At 41.8% G+C, this 21,240-nt stretch overlaps 2 pseudogenes across 1 annotated transcript in view; one reads left to right on the top strand and one right to left on the bottom strand.

Annotated features, from left to right (window-relative positions):
- Positions 1-14,434, bottom strand: part of CXXC1P1 (CXXC finger protein 1 pseudogene 1) — a 29,438-nt pseudogene extending 15,004 nt beyond the window's left edge. The window contains exon 1 of the transcript NR_033924.1: positions 14,240-14,434. The product of NR_033924.1 is annotated as a CXXC finger protein 1 pseudogene 1 (transcript). The remainder of the gene's footprint in view (positions 1-14,239) is intronic.
- On the top strand, positions 2,445-3,818 carry SMSP1 (SMS pseudogene 1; annotated as a pseudogene).

The raw sequence follows: 21,240 nt of genomic DNA, 5'->3' as shown, positions 1-21,240 counted from the left end.
GTGGGCCTCCAGTGCACATGGCGTCCGGTCATACCCAGCCCCGCCCCTTGCCAGGCTCCACCCCCTTCCCAGACTCTTACAGCACCACAAGCCCCTCCGCATTCTGGGACAGAAAGGACGCGGCCTCACCTCACAGCCCGCTGAAACATGTTAAGACGCCAAGCCCTGACCCTCCTCCCTACCTGCACAGGCCACATCGGGGCCTACCGGCCCTGACCCACCCACCTAGCGAAATTTTACAGTCTTTATTCTGAAAAGTACTCCTACCTGTGCCCAATATCGCCACATAAAATGCATAAATATACAAATATACTTTTGCGGCCCAGGAGATCGAGACCAGCCTGAGGCAACATCGCGAGATCTCATCTCTAGAAAAAAATTTTAAAAAATATTAGCCAGGTGTAGTGGCGCGCGCCTATGGTCCTAGCTACTCAGAAAGCCAAGGCAGGAGGATCTCTTGAGCCCAGGAGGTAGAGGCTGCAGTGAGCCACGATCGCGCCACTGCACTCCAGGCGAGATCGCACCACCGCACTCCAGCCTGGGCGACACGGCGAGATTCCATCTCAAAATATATACGTACATATGTACATATTTCTGTGTGCATCATATATATCAACACATGCAAACAAGTCACTACTCTCGGCAATTAAGGAAACAAGAACACACACAGGACCAATACGCATCTTGAACAAAACAGTATCAGTTGGAGAACTCATACTATCTTCAAGCTAGAGATACAATATTAATAAAAATGGACCTTGAACTTAGTCTTAAAGGGACTCTAAACACATTCCGATGAATAAGCACCACACAGCACACAGATAAGGTGCATTAGAAATCAATAAAAGGCTTAGCTTTTGTTAATTGGAAACACATATAAATAACTCTTGGTAAAAAGAAATTAGAAAACACTTAACTATTATGAAAACAATAATACTCAACTTATTGTCTTAGATGGAACTTTAAGCCATCTTAAAGTTCTTTTCTCATCTTAATATGAGAAAAGAAGAAAAATGGAAACAAATTACCCATCAGAGGATCTGACTGGGAGCATTCAACTCAACTTACAGCAAGTCCCTATTGTGATTCCAAAAACCTCCATTATCAACCCCCAAATTTCCTTCAAAGATCCTACATCCACTCTCCAATCATGAAACTCAGTCTCTCATCAAAGCTCTTGCAAAATACCTCAGCATCAAGTAGGTGCTGAACCACGGAGCCTCGTGTGAGGTGCAGCCAAAAAGCTGCGAAAGAGAAGCTTCGGGAAGCACCCTTGTCCCGCCCCTTTCTAAATGTGTCCAATTCGGGCTTGCTCAACACTTGGACGGAGCTGTTGTACCACCCAAGTTCAAGAGCATAGTTACAGAGAAACAGTACAGCCATGTGTGCACAGTTCCCACATTTTGTTTTGGCTTATTTTTATTTTTTTTCTTCCAACTTTTATTTTAGGTTCAGGGGTCCATGTGCAGGTTTGTTATATGGATAAATTGAGAGTTGCTGGGGTTTGGAGTACAAAAGATTTCATCACCCAGATAGTGAATATAGTACCTGACAGGGAGTTTTTCAATCCTTACCCTCCTCCCACCCTCCACCGTCAAGTAGACCCCAATGTCTATTGTTACCCTCTTTGGGTCCTGTTGGACTCATGCATTACATTTTGTAGGTGATTGATCATTGCAGTATCATATATAACAAGAAAATTGCTCCTCTTATAATTTCCAATTATTTTGAATAATTTAATATTATCACTATTTTACTATCTATTTATATTAAAATTATTATTATTATTATTATTATTATTATTATTATTATTATTTTGAGACGGTGTCTCGCTCTGTCGCCCAGGTTGGAGTGCAGTGGCGCGATCTCGGCTCGCTGCAAGCTCCGCCTCCTGGGTTCACGCCATTCTCCTGCCTCAGCCTCCCTAGTAGCTGGGACTACAGGCGCCCGCCACCGCGCCCGGCTAATTTTTTGTATTTTTAGTAGAGACGGGGTTTCATCGTGTTAGCCAGGATGGTCTCAATCTCCTGACCTCATGATCTGCCCCCCTCGGCCTCCCAAAGTGCTGGGATTACAGGTGTGAGCCACCGAGCCCGGCCTATTACTATTATTTTTAGAGACGGAGTCTCACTCTGTCACCCAGGATGGAGTGCAGTGGTGCAATCAAAGCTCACTGCAGCCTCGAATTCCTGGGCTCAAGCGATTCTTTCACCTCAGCCTCCCAAGTAGCTGGGATTACAGACTATCTGCTATTATTTTAATTATAAGGTAGGCAATGAGAAAAAACAAACAAAAATCACATCATTTTTTTAAAGTCAGGAAACTAGGAAAAGATTTATTAAAAGTGCAGGAAAATAGCGAAATGTATGAAAGTAGGAATAAATTCACATTTGAAGTTCATCCTTTATTACATGATCAGTAACTTTTTAAAAAGTTGTTAATGGGGCGGAAGCCTGACATGCTGCGCGGCCCCTCAGTCTCCCACGGCCGCCTTCCCCAGGCATGGCTCAGGGTCTCGCCTCACTATGGCAGCGGCATGGCACAGCACACTCGACTTCATGCTCAGCGCCAAAGCTGATGGCGAGACCATTCTAAAAGGGCTCCAGTCCATTTTCCAGGAGCAGGGGATGGCAGAACCGGTGGACACCGGGCAGGACCACACCGCTGTTTAGCAACCTGCACACACACAAAAAAACGGCAGCTTTGCCAATTTGAGAATTTACTCACATAGATTGGAGTTATTGGACCTTCAGAGTTACGATGGTGATGCACAAGGCAAAGAAGAGATCGACAGTCTTTTGAACAAAGGAGAAGAAAGAATGAAAGAATTGAGTCAGGACAGTAGTTGGCAGATGAGGCAATTACCACCTATAGTTCCAGGAGGAGCCATCGACAGATACTGGCCCACCGCAGATGGACTCCTGGTTGAATACAACATAGATGAAGTGGTATATGATGAAGATTCACCTTATCAGAACATTAAAATTCTACACTCGAAGCAATTTGGAAATATTCTCATCCTTAGTGGGAATGTTAATTTGGCATAGAGTGATTTGACATATACCTGGGCCATCATGGGCAGTGGCAAAGTTTGCATCGGCAAAGATGTACTCATTCTGGGAGGCCGAGATGGGGGCATATTGTGTGAAATAGCCGAACTAAAACTAAAGATGGTCACTATGATAGAGATTGACGAAATGGTGATTGATGGATGTAGGAAATATATGTGAAAAACTTGTGGTGATGTCTTAGATAATCTTAAAGGAGACTGCTATATGAGGTTCAGTACTGCATTCCAGTACTGAAAAGGTATGCCAAAGAAGGGAGATAATTTGATTATGTGATTAATGATTTGATAGCTGTTCCAATCTCCATGTCTCCAGAAGATTCCACATGGGAGTTTCTCAGACTGATTCCTGACCTCTCAATGAAAGTATTGAAACAAGATGTGAAATATTTTACACAAGGGGAACTCTGTCAATCTGACGGAAGCCCTGTCTCTCTATGAAGAACAGCTGGGGTGCCTGTATTGTCCTTTGGAATTCTCAAAGGAAATAGTCCGTGTCTCTTCATACTTGGAATTGTGGGTATTTTACACCATTTGGAAGAAAGCTAAACCTCGAAGACAAATATCCTCTAATCCTGTGTGCTGCAAATAGCCTTCCTGACCTCCATATGCTATACATGACATCAAAATGAGTCACGCAATTAATTGTGACTTCCTTAGAGTTTTCCTTTTTCAATTATTATTTTTAATTTTAAAACAGCAAATGGAAAATGTATATTTTGATGAGTATAGGGTTTTTTTTTTGAAAGTCAGTTGAAGGATGGTTAGACAGCACAGCTAAGACTGCTAAATGCACTAACCCCCTGGAATGTGATTTGTGTTCCTTTTTATTTCTCTGTGGACTTTTTTTGTTTTCATTTTGGTACACCTTCAATTTGGATGTTTGAAGGAATGAACATCATTGTTTTGTTTCAGAAGGAAGTTCTTGATGATGTTTCCTTCCCCCAAAATTGACTTACATATTAAAGTTTGGTGCTTATCATCACGATAAATAGCTAATGCTCGTGAGGCTTAATACCTAGGTGATGGGTTGATAGGTGCAGCAAACCACCATGGCACACGTTTACCTATGTAACAAACCTGCACATCCTTCGTGTGTATCCTGGAACTTAAAATAAGATAAAATAAAAAAATTTTAAAGCATTTTTTTAAAACAAATAATAAGAGCCAAGCGTGGTGGCTCACCCCTGTAATCCCAGCACTTTGGGAGGCCGAGGTGGGTGGATCACCTGAGGTCAGGAGTTTCAGACCAGCTTAGCCAACATGGTGAAACTCCATCTCTACTAAAAATACAAAAAAAAAAAAAAAAAATTAGCCGGGTGTGGTGGTGGGCGCCTGTAATCCCAGCTACTCGGGGTGGGAAACTGAGCCAGGAGAATCGCTTGAACCTGGGAGGCAGAGGTTGCAGTGAGTTGAGAACACACCATTGCACTCCAGCCTGGGTGGCAGAGGGAGACTCCGCCTCAAAAAATAAAAAATAAAAATAAATAAATAAATAAAATTTGGTGCTTATAAGAGAGAGTTAAAAAAAATGAATAGCAATTGCTTTAATTCAAATTACAAAAGAGACCCCAAAAAAAGTTGTTAATGGAGTAAATGCTCCAGTTAATGGTTGTCATTTTGTGTAAAAATTGACAAATCCAGTCATATACTGTTTATGCCAAACCTAGCAAATCATAAGAATACAGAAAAGTTTGAAATAAAGGGATGGAAGAAAATTTGCCAGGCCCATGCTAATCAAAATAAAGCAAGGTCAGTGATATTACTAGCAAACTGAAAAGACTAAGACAAAAAGTATTCATTGGAATTGAGAGGGCCCTTCCATAATGATTCAATTCACAATGAATGTAAAAATTCTAATCTTATATACACTTAAGAAAATGATGTAAAATAAACACAAAGAAAATATATTAGAACAAATGGTAAAATAGCAAAAATATATTATCATTGTGGAAGATTATAACCATACTGCTCCACTAATTCCCACTGACCCTTCAAGCCGCTGCCTTGGCATCTCTGTCTGGGAAGCTCTCTTTTCTTCTTTGCCATCTGGGTGTCTGGCCTCTCTTCTGAATGAACTTGTGGATTAATTATAATATAGCAAGGGCTGTTCATTTTATTTTAATCTTGAAATTAGGAAGAAAATATGGGTGTTGCCTGAACCTCTTACAACTGTCTTGTGTCTGTCTTCCCCACTAGAAATGAGGGAAGGGACAATGTCGGTCTTCATCACTGTCAGATGCCTAGTGCCCAGTTTACTGCCTGGCACAAGGGAGGTGTCCAGTAGCAATTGGTGATTAAAGAAATATATCAGGGACTCTAACCTTCTGGTGTTTTTGCAAAATGGCAAATTACTGTAATCTATGTGGCTCCATATTATTTCCTAGAGATAAAAGCAAATAAATGCTATAATTTACACTAAAGTTACATTTAACTAACCATGGACAAAGTGAACATTCAAAAAATGTTAAGATCTTTGTTAAGAAGCTATTTTCCCTCATTCAAGCCTGGTGTCTAATGACAGCGTCCCCAGCTAAATCTAAATCTTCACAGCTTGTGTCAAACTCAGTTTAGGGATTGGAGCATGAAGTGAGAAATCCAAGCTGAACTCAGAAGTACACTGTGAGCTCTATGTAAGAATTAAAGAAAGAGGAAAGAAACATGAAAAGCGGCTCAGCAGTTAAAGACAGGTTTACTTTGGAAAATAAACCTGAGAGGGGCTTCTGGCTGAGTTAGGACAGAGGTACTCTCTCTTACAGACTGAGAGTTTTTTTAATTTATTTTTTATTTTTTCATTTTGTTTTATTTTTATTCAGGAACTAAGACTACAAGGCCGTACATAGGACAATTTTCTTTCAATGTTTATGATAAAAAGTCTACATGCTTACAAAGAAGGGTTCATCATGGCCTTTACAAAAAACAAATAGAAAAGAATTGCTTTTTTTTTATTTTACTTTAAGTTCTGGGGTACATGTGCAGAACGTGCAGGTTTTTTACATAGGTATACATGTGCCATGGTGGTTTACTGCACCTATCAACCCATCATCTAGGCTTTAAGCCCTGCAGGCATTAGGTATTTGTCCTAATGCTCTCCCTCCCCTTACCCCCCACCCCCTGATAGGCCCCAGTGTGTGATGTTCCCCTCCCTGTGTCCATGTGTTCTTGTTGTTCACCTCCCACTTATAGTGAGACCATGCAGTGTTTGGTTTTCTGTTCTTGTTTTAGTTTGCTGAGAATTATGGTTCCAGCTTCATCCATGTCCCTGCAAAGGACATGAACTCATTCTTTTTTATGGCTGCATAGTATTCCATGGTGCATACATGCCACATTTTCTTTATCCAGTCTATCGTTGATGGGCATTTGGGTTGGTTCCAAGTCTTTGCTATTGTAAATAGTGCTGCAATAAACATACGTGTGCATGTGTCTTTATAGTAGAATGATTTATAATCCTTTGGATATATACCCCGTAATGGGATTGCTAGGTCAAGGGGTATTTCTGGTTCTAGACCTTGAGGAATCACCAAACTGTCTTCCACAATAGTTGAACTAATTTACACTCCCACCAACAGTGTAAAAGCATTCCTATTTCTCCATCCTCGCCAGCATCTATTGTTTCCTGACTTTTTAATGATTGCCATTCTAACTGGCATGAGGTGGTATCTCACTGTGGTTTTGATTTGCATTTCTCTAATGACCAGTGGTGATGAGCTTTTTTTCATGTTTGTTGGCCACATAAATGTCTTCTTTTGAGAAGTGTCTGTTCATATCCTTTGCCCACTTTTTGATGGGGTTGTTTGTTTTTTTCTTGTAAATTTGTTTAAGTTCCTTGTAGATTCTGGATATTAGACCTTTGTCAGACGGATAGATTGCAAAAAGTTTCTCCCATTCTGTAGGTTGCTTGTTCACCCCGATGATAGTTTTTTTTGCTGTGCAGAAGCTCTTTAGTTTAATTAGATCCCATTTGTCAATTTTAGCATTTTTTTGCAATTGCTTTTGGTGTTTTGGTCATGAAGTCTTTGCCCATGCCTATGTCCTGAATGGTATTGCCTAGGTTTTCTTCTAGGGTTTTTATGGTTTTAAGTCTTACATTTAAGTCTTTAATCCTCCTTGAGTTAATTTTTATATAAGGTGTAAGGAAGGAGTCCAGTTTCTGTTTTCTGCATATGGCTAGCCAGTTTTTCCAGCACCATTTATTAAATGGGGAATCCTTTCCCCATTGCTTGTTTTTGCCAGGTTTGTCAAAGATCAGATGGTTGTAGATGTGTGGTGTCATTTCTGAGGCCTCTGTCTTGTTCCATTTGTCTATATATCTGTTTTGATGCCAGTACCATCCTGTTTTGGTTACTGTAAGCTTGTAGTATAGTTTGAAGTCAAGGAGTGTAATGCCTCCAGCTTTGCTCTTTTTGCTTAGGATAGTCTTGGCTATACTGGCTCTTTTTTGGTTCCATATGAAATTTAAACTAGTTTTTTCTAGTTCTGTGAAGAACATCAATGGTAATTTGATGGGAATAGCATTGGATCTATAAATTACTTTGGGCAGTATGGCCATTTTCATGATATTGATTCTTCCTATCCACGAGCATGGAATTTTTTTCCATTTGTTTGTGTCCTCTCTTACTTTCTTGAGCAGTGGTTTGTAGTTCTCCTTGAAGAGGTCCTTCACGTCCCTTGTAAGTTGTGTTCCTAGGTATTATATTCTCTTTGTGGCAATTGTGAATGGGGTTCACTCATGGTTTGGCTCTCTGCTTGTCTATTGTTGGTGTATAGGAATGCTTGTGATTTTTGCACATTGATTTTGTATCCTGAGACTTTGCTGAAGTTGCTTATCAGCTTAAGGAGTTTTTAAGCTGAGATGATGGGGTTTTCTAAATATACAATCGTGTCATCTGCAAACAGAGACAATCTGACTTATTTTCATCCTATTTGAATACCCTTTATTTCCTTCTCTTGCCTAATTGCCCTGGCCAGAGCTTCCAATACTATGTCGAATAGGAGCAGTGAGAGAGGGCGTCCTTGTCTTGTGCCAGTTTCCAAAGGGAATGCTTCCAGCTTTTGCCCATTCAGTATGATATTGGCTATGGATTTGTCATAAATAGCTCATTATTTTGAGATATGTTCCATCAATACCTAGTTTATTGAGAGTTTTTGGCATGGAGGAGTGTTGAATTCTATCAAAGGCCTTTTCTGCATCTATTGAGATAATCATGTGGTTTTTGTCATTGGTTCAGTTTATGTGATGGATTACGTTTATTGATTTGCGTATGTTGAACCAGATTTGCATCCCAGGGATGAAGCTGACTTGATCATGGTGGATAAGCTTTTTGATGTGCTGCTGGATTTGGTTTGCCAGTATTTTATTGAGGATTTTTGCATTGATGTTCATCAGGGATACTGGCCTGAAATTTTCTCTTTTTGCTGTTGTCAGACGAAGAGTTTTTAAGGATTCAGGGTGGGAGAGTTTATCAGAGGCTTGGATTGTCTGTGTCTCTTTGCTGTGCTTATCTGGGAGGGAGAGTTTTGTGTCTGTTCCCATACATCTTCCTGCAGCCGCAGGCATACACCACCCCGGCCTCCCCGCCCCTGGTCTGCTTTTAGCTTCCTTATCTTAGTGCACCTGAAGGGAAAGGAATGTGCTTATTAAGGCCCACTGTTTTACTGGGGCCCATTGTATGAGGGTGAAGTTTGGCAGTTACTCAAGAGACTTCCCCCGCTCCTCCCTCTGTGCCCAAGCTGTCTTATCTGTGTTTTACTGTCTGCTCTTTCTGGCTGCTTGTTGTTAGAAGAGAAATTATTTCCTTGAAATGCACAAAGCTGGAAAGGCAGCTGGAACTTAAAATGGCAGTGTTTGTCCAATATGATGGTGCTCCTACTGTGTCACTCTAAAGAAAGTGTTACCACTCTGTGGCTGTGAAAGTTGATAAATAGTACTTGCAGTATCCAAGCTAAGGTGTACTTTAACTTTCCTTTGAATTATTTTCCTTTGCATTGTTCCAATATGAGGGATCTGTGCTACTATCACTGATCACTGCTTCTGATTACGAAGTTTCAGAAAATGAAACAGCAGCCATTGTTGTGGCCCTCTCAGATGCATCATCAATAACTTTTTGATCCTCTTCACTTCTGACTTCAAACCTACTTCTCTAATGTCTCCTGTCTCTTTACTGCTGTTTTTCTTTCACTCAGGTTTCTCATATTTTACATCATGATGAACTCCTGTCTCTGAGATGTGGATGGCTAATCCAGTTTGCCTCCAAGGTCGTCTTCCCAAAGGGCCATGGATTAAGAAATATATCACCATCAGCCAGGCGCAGTGGCTCACACCTTTAATCCCAGCACTGTGGGAGGCTGAGATGGGTGGATCGCTTGAACCCAGGAGTTCGAGACCAGCCTGGGCAACATAGTGAGTTCCCATCTCTACAAAAAATACAAAAAATTAGTGAGCATGGTGGTGCACACCTGTGGTCCCAGCTACTTGGGAGGCTGAGGCAGGAGAATGGCTTGAGCCTGAGAGACTGAGGTGGCAGTGAGCCATGACCGTGCTACTGCACTCCAGCCCAGGCAACAGAGAAAGACCCTGTTGAAAGAAAGAAAGAAAAAAAATGTCACCATCCTCCTTAGGAATCTTTCCTGGATCTCCAAGATGTTCAGGATCAGGGCTCCACTCTATAGCGTGTCTTTCCAAGTTCTCTATGACAGGGCCCCACTTGCCTGTAAAACAAGTCCGGTTCCCAGCCTCTCTAAACGTCGAGCAATCAGGGAGTATTCGCTCTCTTGTTGATCCAGCATGGGCTTCCGAGTTCAGGGTCTTTACTGAGGCTTGCCTTTCCTTTACTTTTGCTAATTCCTGCTTACCCTGCAAGACTAAGCTTTGGCATCGCCATCTGGAAAACTCTATTTCCTTTCCAACTGGGTGAACTGCCCCTCTTCTGAATGCACTTGTAAGCATAATTGTAACAGTGATGGGTATTCCTTTTATTTTCTTGGAATTATAATGGGTGGGGGAGTGTTGCCTGAACCTCTCACATCTGTGTTTGTCTATTTTTGCCTGTCAACATTCAGCTTATCTTTCAAGACTCACCTCAGATGCCTGCCCCACTGGGAAGCCTTTTTCAGACCCTTTGCTCCTCCTTCCTCAGTTTTCCCACAGCATTTCTGTCATTCTGCTCAGTGTTGCTGTGTATTTTACAGGTTTCTCTCCTCCCAGCACAGTGCTCCTACAACAGTTGCTGGTGATTACTGACTTACAGCTTTGGTCTCTTCTGACTGCCCAGATACACTAGATGTTAAGTGCTTTGTTGGCAGACTGGCATGTCCTTAGAGGCAAACACTAGATTGTCCATCCAGATTCGAGGGAACAAGAACATGAACCATTCCAGGAGCAGATACTCTGAATTTAACCTTTTTCTGCAGACTGTTTCTGTACTTGTAATTGATTTTTATAATGTCCAATGTATCAGTATTTTCTGTTATGGATCATGCTTTGGGTATCATGTCTAAAACTCTTTGCCTAACCTAAGGTCACAAAGATTTCCTCCTATGTTTTCTTCTAGAAGTTTTATAATTTTATATTTTACCAATAGGTCTATGGTCTATTTGAATTGATTTTCATGTAAAGTGTTAGGTTAAGTTGAAGTTTGCCTTGTTTTTTGTTTTGTTTTGTATATGGATAGTCCATTGTTCAAGCATCATTTATTTTTATTTTATTTTATTTTAAGTTCCGGGATACATGTGCAGGCTGTGCAGTCTTGTTACATAGGTAAATGTGTGCCATGGTAGTTTGATGCACCTATCAACCCATCACCTAGGTATTAAGCCCAGCATGCATTAGCTATTTTTCCTGATGCTCTCCCTCTCCCCGCATCCCCCAGCACAGGCCCCAGTGTATGCTCTTTCCCTCCCCGTGTCCATGTATCCTCATTGTTCAGCTCCCACTTACAAGTGAGAACATCCAGCATCCTTTATTAAAAAGACAATACTTTCTCCATTGAAATGGCTTTGTACTTCATAAAAAAAAAATTAGTTGACTAAGGCCAGGCATGGCGACTCCCACTTGTAATCTCAGTGCTTTGCAAGGCCAAGGCAGGAGGATCACTTGACACCAGCCTGGGCAGCATCATGAGACCCTGTCTCTACAAAAAATAAAAAATTAGCTGGGTGTGGTGGCATTTGCCTGTAGTCCCAGCTACTCAGGAAGCTGAGGTGGGAGGATCACTTGAGCCCAGGAGTTGCAGGCTGCAATGAGCTATAATTGAACCACTGCACTCCATCTTGGGCAACAGAGTGAAACTCTGTGAAAAACAAAAGTGTTGACTAGAGGAGGATTCTGGGAAGGTGGTGGAGTAGGAAGCACCAGGAATCCACCTCCCCACAGAAATAACAGTTACACTGACATAATCTGTCTGACATAACTATTTTGGAACTCTGGAGTCTGTCAAAGGCTTGCAATTTCCAGGGGAAGCCTAAATGGTGAGTTGCAGTTAATTTCAGTCAATTTAAGCTCTTAGCACAGTAGCAGTTCCCCATCCCTGACTTTTCAGCCCTATGGCAAACAGCCGTGCGCATGTTCCTGGAGCAGCTTGCACACAACTTGCAGGAGCAGAGTAGGCAAAAAGAACTCTATCTTCCAGTATCAGGGATCTGTGCTTGGATCACTGATCACTGCTTCTGATCACAGAATTGCAGAAAATGAATTAGCAGCCATTGTTGTTACACCTCCCACTACTGTTGAAAGCCTCACCTCCTGGAGGTTGCAGTGAGCCAAGATCATGCCACTGCACTCCAGCCTGGGTGATAGAGCAAGACTCTGTCTCAAACAAACAAACAAACAAACAAACAAACAACCTCACCTCCCATCCACCCACCCCCACTGATGTGATTTCCAGGAGATTTAAAGGGTCAGTGCCTTTCTCTCTCATTTTTCTCTTTTTCCCTTTTTTGGGAGCCAGCCATAGTACACTCAAAAGCAACCATACATATGGGGGAAATTAGAAAGTCACCACACATGCCCAGGGGAAGGGACTCAGGCTTAGTAAAGACCTGAGAAGACTGAATTTACACCTCAGGGTGATTCTCAGCACAGAGACAGCCTACAACAATTAAATAAACAAGTAAATAAATAATAGAAAGCCTTGAGGAAAGGGGAGCATCTGATATACAGAGTTATTACATTATTACATTTGAATGTCCAGTTTTCAACAAGAAATCAGAAGGCATACAAAGAAACAGGAAAGTATGGCCCATTCAAGGGAAAAAATAAACTAACAGAAACCATCCCTGAAAAAGACCTGTCAGCCATGGTCTGGGAGCAGTCATGACCATACAGGAACCCAGCAGGAGGCACACCTATCCATATTTCCAGAGGCAGAACTGCAGATGTCAGTCCCAGCGGTGGACCCTGAAGCAGCCCTGTGACTTGGTTCTAGCCTCTCTCAGCCACATTCCAGAGCCAATCCTGCCTGTTTAGTGACCTACCCAGTAACCCAGCAGGAGATGGCCCAGGGAACTGGTGGGAGTCATGTGCATTCACACACCTGGTAACAGGGCTGCTGTCTGTGTACTCAACTGCAGACCTTGAAGTGGATCCTTGTCCCAACACCAGTCCCACTGACCAAGGTCCTGGAAGCAATTCTATTGGCCCAGACACCATGCAGGATCCACACCTGCCTAGGACTCTGGTACTAGAACCACCAACTGCAGACCCCACTGCATACCCAGCTAGCAACCATGTGGCCCAGCTAAATCTCTACTTGACTGCAATCCCAGGAGCAATCCCATCAGCCCAGAGACCCTTAACTGCCTGTAGCCACAAAATTCTTTGTTTTCTTTTTTCTTTTTTAAAACTTATTAAAACTTTATTTATTTTGTAATCATTTTCTTCCTTTGAGACAAGGTCTCACTCTGTAGTCCAGGCTGGAGAGCGGTGGCATGATCACAGCTTACTACAGCCTCAACTTCCCAGGCTCAAGTGATCCTCCACCTCAGCCTCTCAAGTACCTGAGACTAGAAGCGTACCACCACATCCAGCTAATTTTCACATTTTTTATAGAGATGGGAATCTCACTATGTTGCCCAGGCTGTCCTCAAACTCCTGGGCTCAAACAATCCTCTGACCTCGGCCTCCCAAAATGCTGGGGTTACAAGCATGAGCCACTGCACCAGCCAAGGTCTTTGCTTTCTTAATCTATCTCTGAGAATGAATTTTTGAATCATGGGGGCTGCATCTTCTGCACCCACTCCAGGAACACTCCTTGCATCCCTAGTAAAGATTTCTCCTAAGCCTGGAAAGTTACCACGTGGTCCTTCCATAAAAGCCTTATTGAATTAAGTCGCAATTGGAATCTATACACCAATGAAGATCCTAATTGTCAATGACCAGAAGACAGATCCTTTGAATTAGAAAGAAAAATTTTATTTCAAATTTATTTGAAAACAATTTTAGAGAACGCTTATTCTAAACTATTTGCTTATTGTATTTATGGGAAGATCAGGCAGAACAAAAAATTCAGAAAAGTATTATTACTAGCCCTAAAAATTTCCTTAACAAAATTAAAGAACAAAAGCAGACCTAGAACAAAAGTTGAAATCTGCTCCCACTATAAATCCCCCTTCCCACTATAAATCACCCTTCTCCACTCACACCCCAACTCCATGTCCCTGACCCACCAGAGGATCTATTCACTCTCTGGGCCCCTGAATTGAACCCCCCCTCCTCAAGATCCAGCCCCATCTCCTCAGCCTCTCCCTCCTCCTCTATCTTCTCAACAAATTCTCTCTGCTCCTCCAAACCCCGGAAAAACTCCTTAGACATCCAGCTGCCTTCTTTTATCTCTCTTTCCCTGGATGATTTACAAAAACCCTCCTGATCTTAAAAGCCCAAATCAGGCCTGGTCTTAAAACCTGAAGCTTAGAGGTCATTTATGTAAGAACTGACTACCACAAAATAAATCTGGCACAGGCTCCAAGGACACCCAACAAGACTTGTTTTTCTGTGCCTTGAAACCTCTCTTATTTCCCAAGGCTTTGTAATCAGACTCCATCAGCTCCAGACCTCTCTATGCAATGCCCTCTGTAAATGTATCCTGGACTCCCTTCTCAAAGAATTCACGTCTCCTGGAGAGCAACAGATATTTTAAATTATAAAGCAATTTTGCCCCCACTTTCAGAAGGACTTACCAAGTTCAGAGAATAGTTGGAGAGATCATTGGCCATCTGTAACCCCATACGTAGAGACCTTGACTGGCTGCTAAGGGGTGTATTTCCCTCTCATGATCATACTGCAGTTATTAGACAGGCCAGACGGCCTCCTGGGGAAAACTCCCTCCACAGAGTGAACAGATGGCCGGAACCCCTTCCTGGCCCTCCTGCAAATGAGGAGATAGGCCCAACTAGTTGCTGATATTCAGGGGCCTGATAGGGACAATATTAGAGGCTCTCCTCCCAAGGTAAATTTGTCTAATGTTGAATTATGTATTCAGAACGAGGGAGAGCACCCCAAGGCTTTTGTCAAGAGACGTATACAAGGTTTTCAAAGGCATGCAGCATTACATCCTGAAGCTCCAGAGCATAGAAATATTCCAGTTTCTGCTCTGGCCGGAAATCTTCTTGATACAAAAAGGCAAATCCAAACTAGTATAGTGGTTGGGCTGGTCAGTCTGTAAGCATTATAATGGAAGCAGGCACTCAATTATTTGAAAATAGCTTGCAAGAAAATAAAGGGAAAAAAAGAACTAAAATCAAGTCATCTTGCGGCTTGAATTGTTACAGAAACAAAGGCGTGCCTCTAAGAATGACTCAAAGTTCTTTCATATCTTTGGTCAGCCACAAGATTTTTCTAGTTTGTCTTCTGAAATTTGCAGATATTGCAAAAGGCAGAGGCATTGGAAAAATTGCTGTCCTGTACAAAAAAAAAAAAAAAAAAAAAGGAAGAAACTCTCCCTAGAATCCAACACCTTTAGAAGGCTCATTATTCCCCTCCTTTGGGACAATACTACATTGATTGATGGGGTCAGCTGATCCTCAGTTGCACCTCAAAGCCCACCATTGAACTTAAAGTAGAGGATTAAGAACCGGATTTAATTGACACTGATAGGACTTCCTCTACTATTCACTCAGAAGAATTATCTCTACCTGTTACCTCTGCCTCTATTCAAGCTATTGAAAACTCTGGGCAACCTATTTCATCGCCCATATCTCAGGACACCCCAACATCCTTTGCCCTCTTAACACCTGCCATGCCTTTCTAGTTTCTGACTCCTCACTTAGCAAACCTTTTAGGTAGGGATTTATTATGTAGGTTTAATGCTGCCATACAATGTAATAAGGAAGGCGTTTTTATGTCTCTGCCTTCAGCCCAAACTTCAAACTTTCTATTAACCTTAGTATTAAAGTTAACACGCTCTCTCATGGAAACCCCCCTTGATTTAAATTCCTCTAAAGAGGATGCAATCTTAAAAGATGTCCCAGCTTGTCTCTGGGCTTAATGTGCAAGTGAGATTGGACTACTACTGAGTACAGAACCGGTACACATTGCATGAAAAAGGAACAAACATTTCCCATCAGTAGTAGCTCAGTACCCCTTCTCACAAGATGCAGAGAGAGGAATTGAACCTATCATAGACTCCCTTTTGCAGCAAGGTGTACTCATTTTCACCACTTCACCCTGTAACACCCCAATCTTACCAGTACAGAAAGAAAGAAAATTTGCTTCCAATGGAAATCAAATCTATTTGTACAAGATTTGTAAGTTGTACAAGATTTGTAATTCCCTGCCACCCTGTTATCCCCAATGCAGCTACTATCCCTACCTCAATTCCTGGTGATGTAGTTGACCTCTGCTCAGCTTTCTTTTCCTTTCCGTTGTACCCTGACTCAGTTTCTCTTTGCATTTACATTTAGAGGGAGGCAATTAACATGGACTCGCATGCTTCAGGGATATTGTAAGTCACTCTCAAAATTCTCTCTAATCCTTAAAGCCTACTTGAATTCTGTAGCCTTCACCCAAGACTCCATTCTTGTGCAATATATTGATGACCTTGCCCTTTTGCTTTGTAACCAAACTAAATAGGATACCCTTAAAGACGCTCCCTCACTCTCCTAAAGGCACTAGCTGACTGAAGCCATAAAGCCTCTAGATCTAAACTTCAGTTAGTGCAAACAACTGTTACTTACTTAGAACATGAAATACCTCAGGGCACTCAGAAGTTCACCCCAAAATGCCTCGAGTCAGTTTTATCCATTCCTCTCCCTAAAATGAAAAAGCAGCTGTGTAAATTTCTAGGGGCAGCTGGCTATTGACCACCATGGAGTCCTAATTTTGTGGCTATTGCCAACCCACTATATGCCCTCCTTCCAGATACCACTCCAGAGACCATTCTCTGGCCTTCAGAGGCATTAACTTCTTTTGAAGCCTCAAAATTAGCATTGCCCTACCCCCTGCTCTTGGCTTACCTAATTTTGATAAACGTTTTCACCTCTATTGTCATGAAAATAGTGAGATTGCTGCAGGTATTCTAGGGCAACCCTTTGCCTCTCAGATACAACCTGTAGCATATTTCTCATGCCAATGGAATACTGTGGCAGCAGACACGCCCCCATGCCTGCATGCAGTAGCATCAGCTGCCGCCCTAATTACTGTATTACCTAATGTATGGGTGCCAGCACCCATACATTAGGTTCCCCCATCCACCTCAATGTTTCCCATGCTGTGTCCGCTCTCTTTCAAGTTCTTAAGATGCAGCACCTCTCTACACATGGACAGAGCACCTAGGAGCAAGCCCTGTGAACCAATCCCTCCATCATCTTACGCCTTTGTGACACTAAATCCTGCTACACTCCTACCCCTCCCTGATGATGAAGAGCCTCATTCCATTCCACTTGATTGCCTAGCAGCTATAGAAATGAGTTCAAAGCCATGAAGGGATCTCTCAGACTCTCCTTTAGACAACCTAGCCGTGTTGCTATTTTGTAATGGCTCTCGCAAATTTAATTTTAAGGGAAACATAATAACTGGCTATGCCATAGTTTCCCCACATGAAACGCTTGAGGCATACTCTTTGCTGACTATAAAGTCAGCCCAGGCTGCTGAACCTATAGCTCTTATTAGAGCTTACACATTGGCAAAAGGAAAAACTGACATGATTTACACTGACTCCGATATGCTTTTGGAGTCTGTCATGCTGTTGGCACAATCTGGAAATCCCGTGGATTCTGAACCTCTGCTGGTACTCCTATTGCTAATGGACATATAATCGCTGCCTTATCACAGGCTGTTCACCTTCATACTAAAATTGCTATTGTTCATTGTCCATCTCACACTAAGGAGACTGACACTATATCTTTAGGAATGATAGGGTAGAAAAGGCTGCTAAGCACACAGCCAAAAACTGACCCCCTTTTTATTTTTCCACCCAATTTATAAACTTACCTTTATCCCTACCTGATATTATTCATTTTCAGGCAAATGCCCCAAAATATGAAAAAGATAAATGGGTACAAAAGGGTGCCAAGTAATTATCAGATGGATTGTATATTGGGCCAAATGGACTTCCTGTGGCCCCTTTTCATTTAACCTTTTGGCTTGTACTTATGTCTCATTGGATGGGACATATGTGCATATGAGGGATAGTTGAGGAACTAAAGAATAATTGATTTTACCCTGGGATCTACAAAATTTCTGTCCAAATTATTTCCCAATGCATTACTTGTAAATCTCATCACGTTTCTGGAGGAAACCAACACTCCTCAGGCAGTCTTCCAAGGCCCACGCTTCTCCTTGCAGCACTCCAGATACATTTCATAGATTTACTTCCAGCCTTGGCTTGTCCTGCTCTTTGGCTATAGTCTGCAGGTTTCATGGATGGATTGGAGGTTCTAATGGCACAACAGTGGTGAGGAAATTGATAACTGAGATGATACCTCACTTTGGCATCCCTTTATGGATCGAGTCAGACAAAGAAACTCATTTTACATCAGAGATAAACCTCTTGCTTGCAAAATCTCTGGAGTACTCATTAAAATTTAATGCCCCATACCATCTGCAATCCTCAGGGCAAGTGGAACATAAAAATCTAGACATTAAATGGACTTGTGAAAAATCTGTCAAGAAACAAAAGTATTACTCCTGGCCCTTATAAAAATTCTGAATACAGCTGGGCGGGGTGGCTCACACCTGTAATCCCAGCACTTTGGGAGGCTGAGGCGGGTGGATCACAAGGTCAGGAGTTCAAGATCAGCCTGGCCAAAATGGTGAAACCCTGTCTCTACTAAAAATACAAAAAAAATTAGCCGGGCATGGTGGTGGGCGCCTGTAATCCCAGCTACTCTGGAGGCTGAGGCAGATAATTGCTTAAACCCGGGAGGCTGAGGTTGCAGTGAGCTGAGATCGCACCATTGCACACCAGCCTCGGCGACAGAGCAAGACTCCGTCTCAAAACAAAAACAAACAAACAATAAAACAACAGTGATCTCAGTGGCTAACAACCAGGAAAGGTCAATATCAGAGACATTCTGAGGTCTTGATACTGACTGGGGTAAGTAATAAATCAACAGTTCAGTAATAAATTTAACAGGGAGATACAGGGAATGAGACAGACAAAAAAGGCCTTGATAAGATCCTACTTATCCCAAGCGGTCTGGAAGACAGCACATGAGCAAATCTGCATGCATGTTCAGGAGAAAATGGAGGGGGCCTGCTATAATCTGAATGTGTCTCCCAGCATTCGTAGGTTGGAACTTAATCCTTAATGTGGCAGTATTAAGAGGTGTGGCCTTTGGAAGGTGATTAGTTCATGAGGGCTCTGCCATCATAAAATTTCCAAATGGAAATTTTAGAACTGAAAAATACTGTCAACTAAAGAAAAAAATCAGGCTTTTAAAGAATTAAAAGTATTATTATTTTTTTTTGAGACAGGGTTTCTGTTGCCCAGGCTGCAGTGCAGTGGCACAATGTCGGCTCACTGCAGACTCCATCTCCTGGACTCAAGCGATCCTCCCACCTCAGCCTTCCAAGTAGCTGGGACTGTATGTACTTATTTTCTGTCTACTTATTCTATTGATTATTAAGATAGGAGTGTTGAAATATTTGACTGTAATTGTAAATTTATGTATTTCTCCTTGCAGTTCTATCAGGTTTTATTTGACATATTTTGAAGCTCTGTTTGTTATTAGATCCCTTAACATTGAAGATTGTTATATCCTTTTGATTAATTAACCCCTTAATTACCACAACATGACCCTATCAAGAGGAAAAAAAATAATGTCACTCAAATAGTGTTTAAATATTTTATTCAACTGATGTGCATCAGTGAAAATCTTAAGAACAAGAAGCCTCCTGTACTGAAGCAGAATTAGTTTATGTTAGGCAAGAAGAACAGAAGGGTATATGAATGCAGTCTGGTCCCAGTTGCAATTTTTTTTATCTGTACCTGCTGAAAATTTCTGGTTGGAACCACTGATAAATTGATCCAGTTTTTCATGCTTTTTGCTCAGGATTATTGGTGCAATCCCATGCCTGCAACTTTCAGAACAGTTCTTTGAGAGCTGTTTTTTTTAATCCTCGCAGTTTTTTAAGGTTCAAGGGGGAAGGAGATAGTTTTTAAGAAGTGGGTGTGGAGTGGAGAATAAGAAAACAAGGGAAAGGAGGCAAAGGTTGAAACAAGAAAAACTGAGGTTTGTTTTCATTCTTTTATAACTCTTCCTCTTGGCCAAAATAAACTCCTTTCTTCACTGGCCAAATCTATAGAGAGATAAAACAAAAGTACAGGAATGTATAAGATTCAAGAATTAAGTAAAGAAGGCTCCGACGATGAGCAGTGGAGGAGCAGTTTGTTCTTTGATCTTTTGTTCCTTAATTGTAGTTTGGATCATCTGTTTGGACAGGACAGTACTGGTGGTCTTAATTAAACATGATAGAATGCATTTGATTAGAGATATTCCTATCAGGAAAAATAGTAAAAGCTTCCGAGCCTTTGGAGAAAAGTATATCCTCAGAATGATGTCCCTGTTCAGAATATCCAGGGAAACATGTCCCATCCCTATCTACCTGATGACAGCCCATAGGTCCCAGGAATCAGAACTCTGTTGCTTACCTGATAAATGTTTTGGTTGGCTTCACAGATGTGTTGATTCACCAAAAAGACATCAGAAAGGTTTTTGGAATCTGTGTATGTCATTCATCCTCAACAGCGGCGCATATACCTCCCATAGATGCCAGGATGATCTATAATGCCAGTCAACGACGAACACCAGCCTTCCGGAGTTCCTGAATTTCTTGAGTGTGTCAGTATTTTTGGTAACATGGTTAGTGGCTTGGGTGGCTTCACAAATGAAAGCCTGGAAAACTAGGCATTGTGTAGAACTTGAATAGTCCACAGGGCTAATCTCTTAAGGGATGGATGCAACATAAAACATTTCGCTGAGTGTGGAGATCTCACTTCGATTGATTCCAAGTCTTTCAGCTTCTTCACACAGTCCCTCTCATCACCTACTAAGAATGGGCATTTTTTCAGAGGGTGGATTTTTCTTCTGGCTTGGGAACTAGGATTTAACTTCTGAACTAAAAATGTGATAAATTGTTCAAACTCAGTCCAATTGTATAGTCAGAAAGAGGAAAGAGATGGGAAAGACAGCATGACCCTGTCCAATTTGCTGGCAAAAATCAGCAATCCTTAGACCTCAAAACAAAATACGAATCACCTGGGGTCTCTCCAGCATCTAAAAAACACTCATACTTTTATCATTGTGGTTTGCCTGGGTGAAGATAGTGTTGAGGCCAGACCAACAACATCTACCTGCTTCAGCCTTTCCAGAAAAACAAGTTCTACCTCTTCAGAATATAATTTGTTAATCTTGGAGATTTGTCAGAGACCCAGTTTGGGGACTATGCCCCAAACAACAGCAATAGTGGTGTGGAGAGTTCTCTCAGGGTCAAGAACAAGTAAGGAACGAGTAGTATTTGTGAAGGTACAATGGAACTGACAGAAAAAAAAGTGAGCAAAAGCAAAAATCATAGGTGACATTAGCTTCATAATCATAAATCTTAAAAAAAAATCCAAGAACTTTGGGCATTAAGGAAAGGAGAGAAGAGAAATGAAATGTGGCAGAGAAATAAGGAGAGGGTGCAGTGGCTCATGCCTGTAATCCTAGCCCTTTGGGATGCCAAGGCAGGAGGACTGCTT

The sequence above is a fragment of the Homo sapiens genome, chromosome X (assembly GCF_000001405.40).
Source record: "Homo sapiens chromosome X, GRCh38.p14 Primary Assembly".
Lineage (NCBI taxonomy): Eukaryota > Metazoa > Chordata > Mammalia > Primates > Hominidae > Homo > Homo sapiens.
This window is presented reverse-complemented; position numbering and strand designations above follow the sequence as displayed.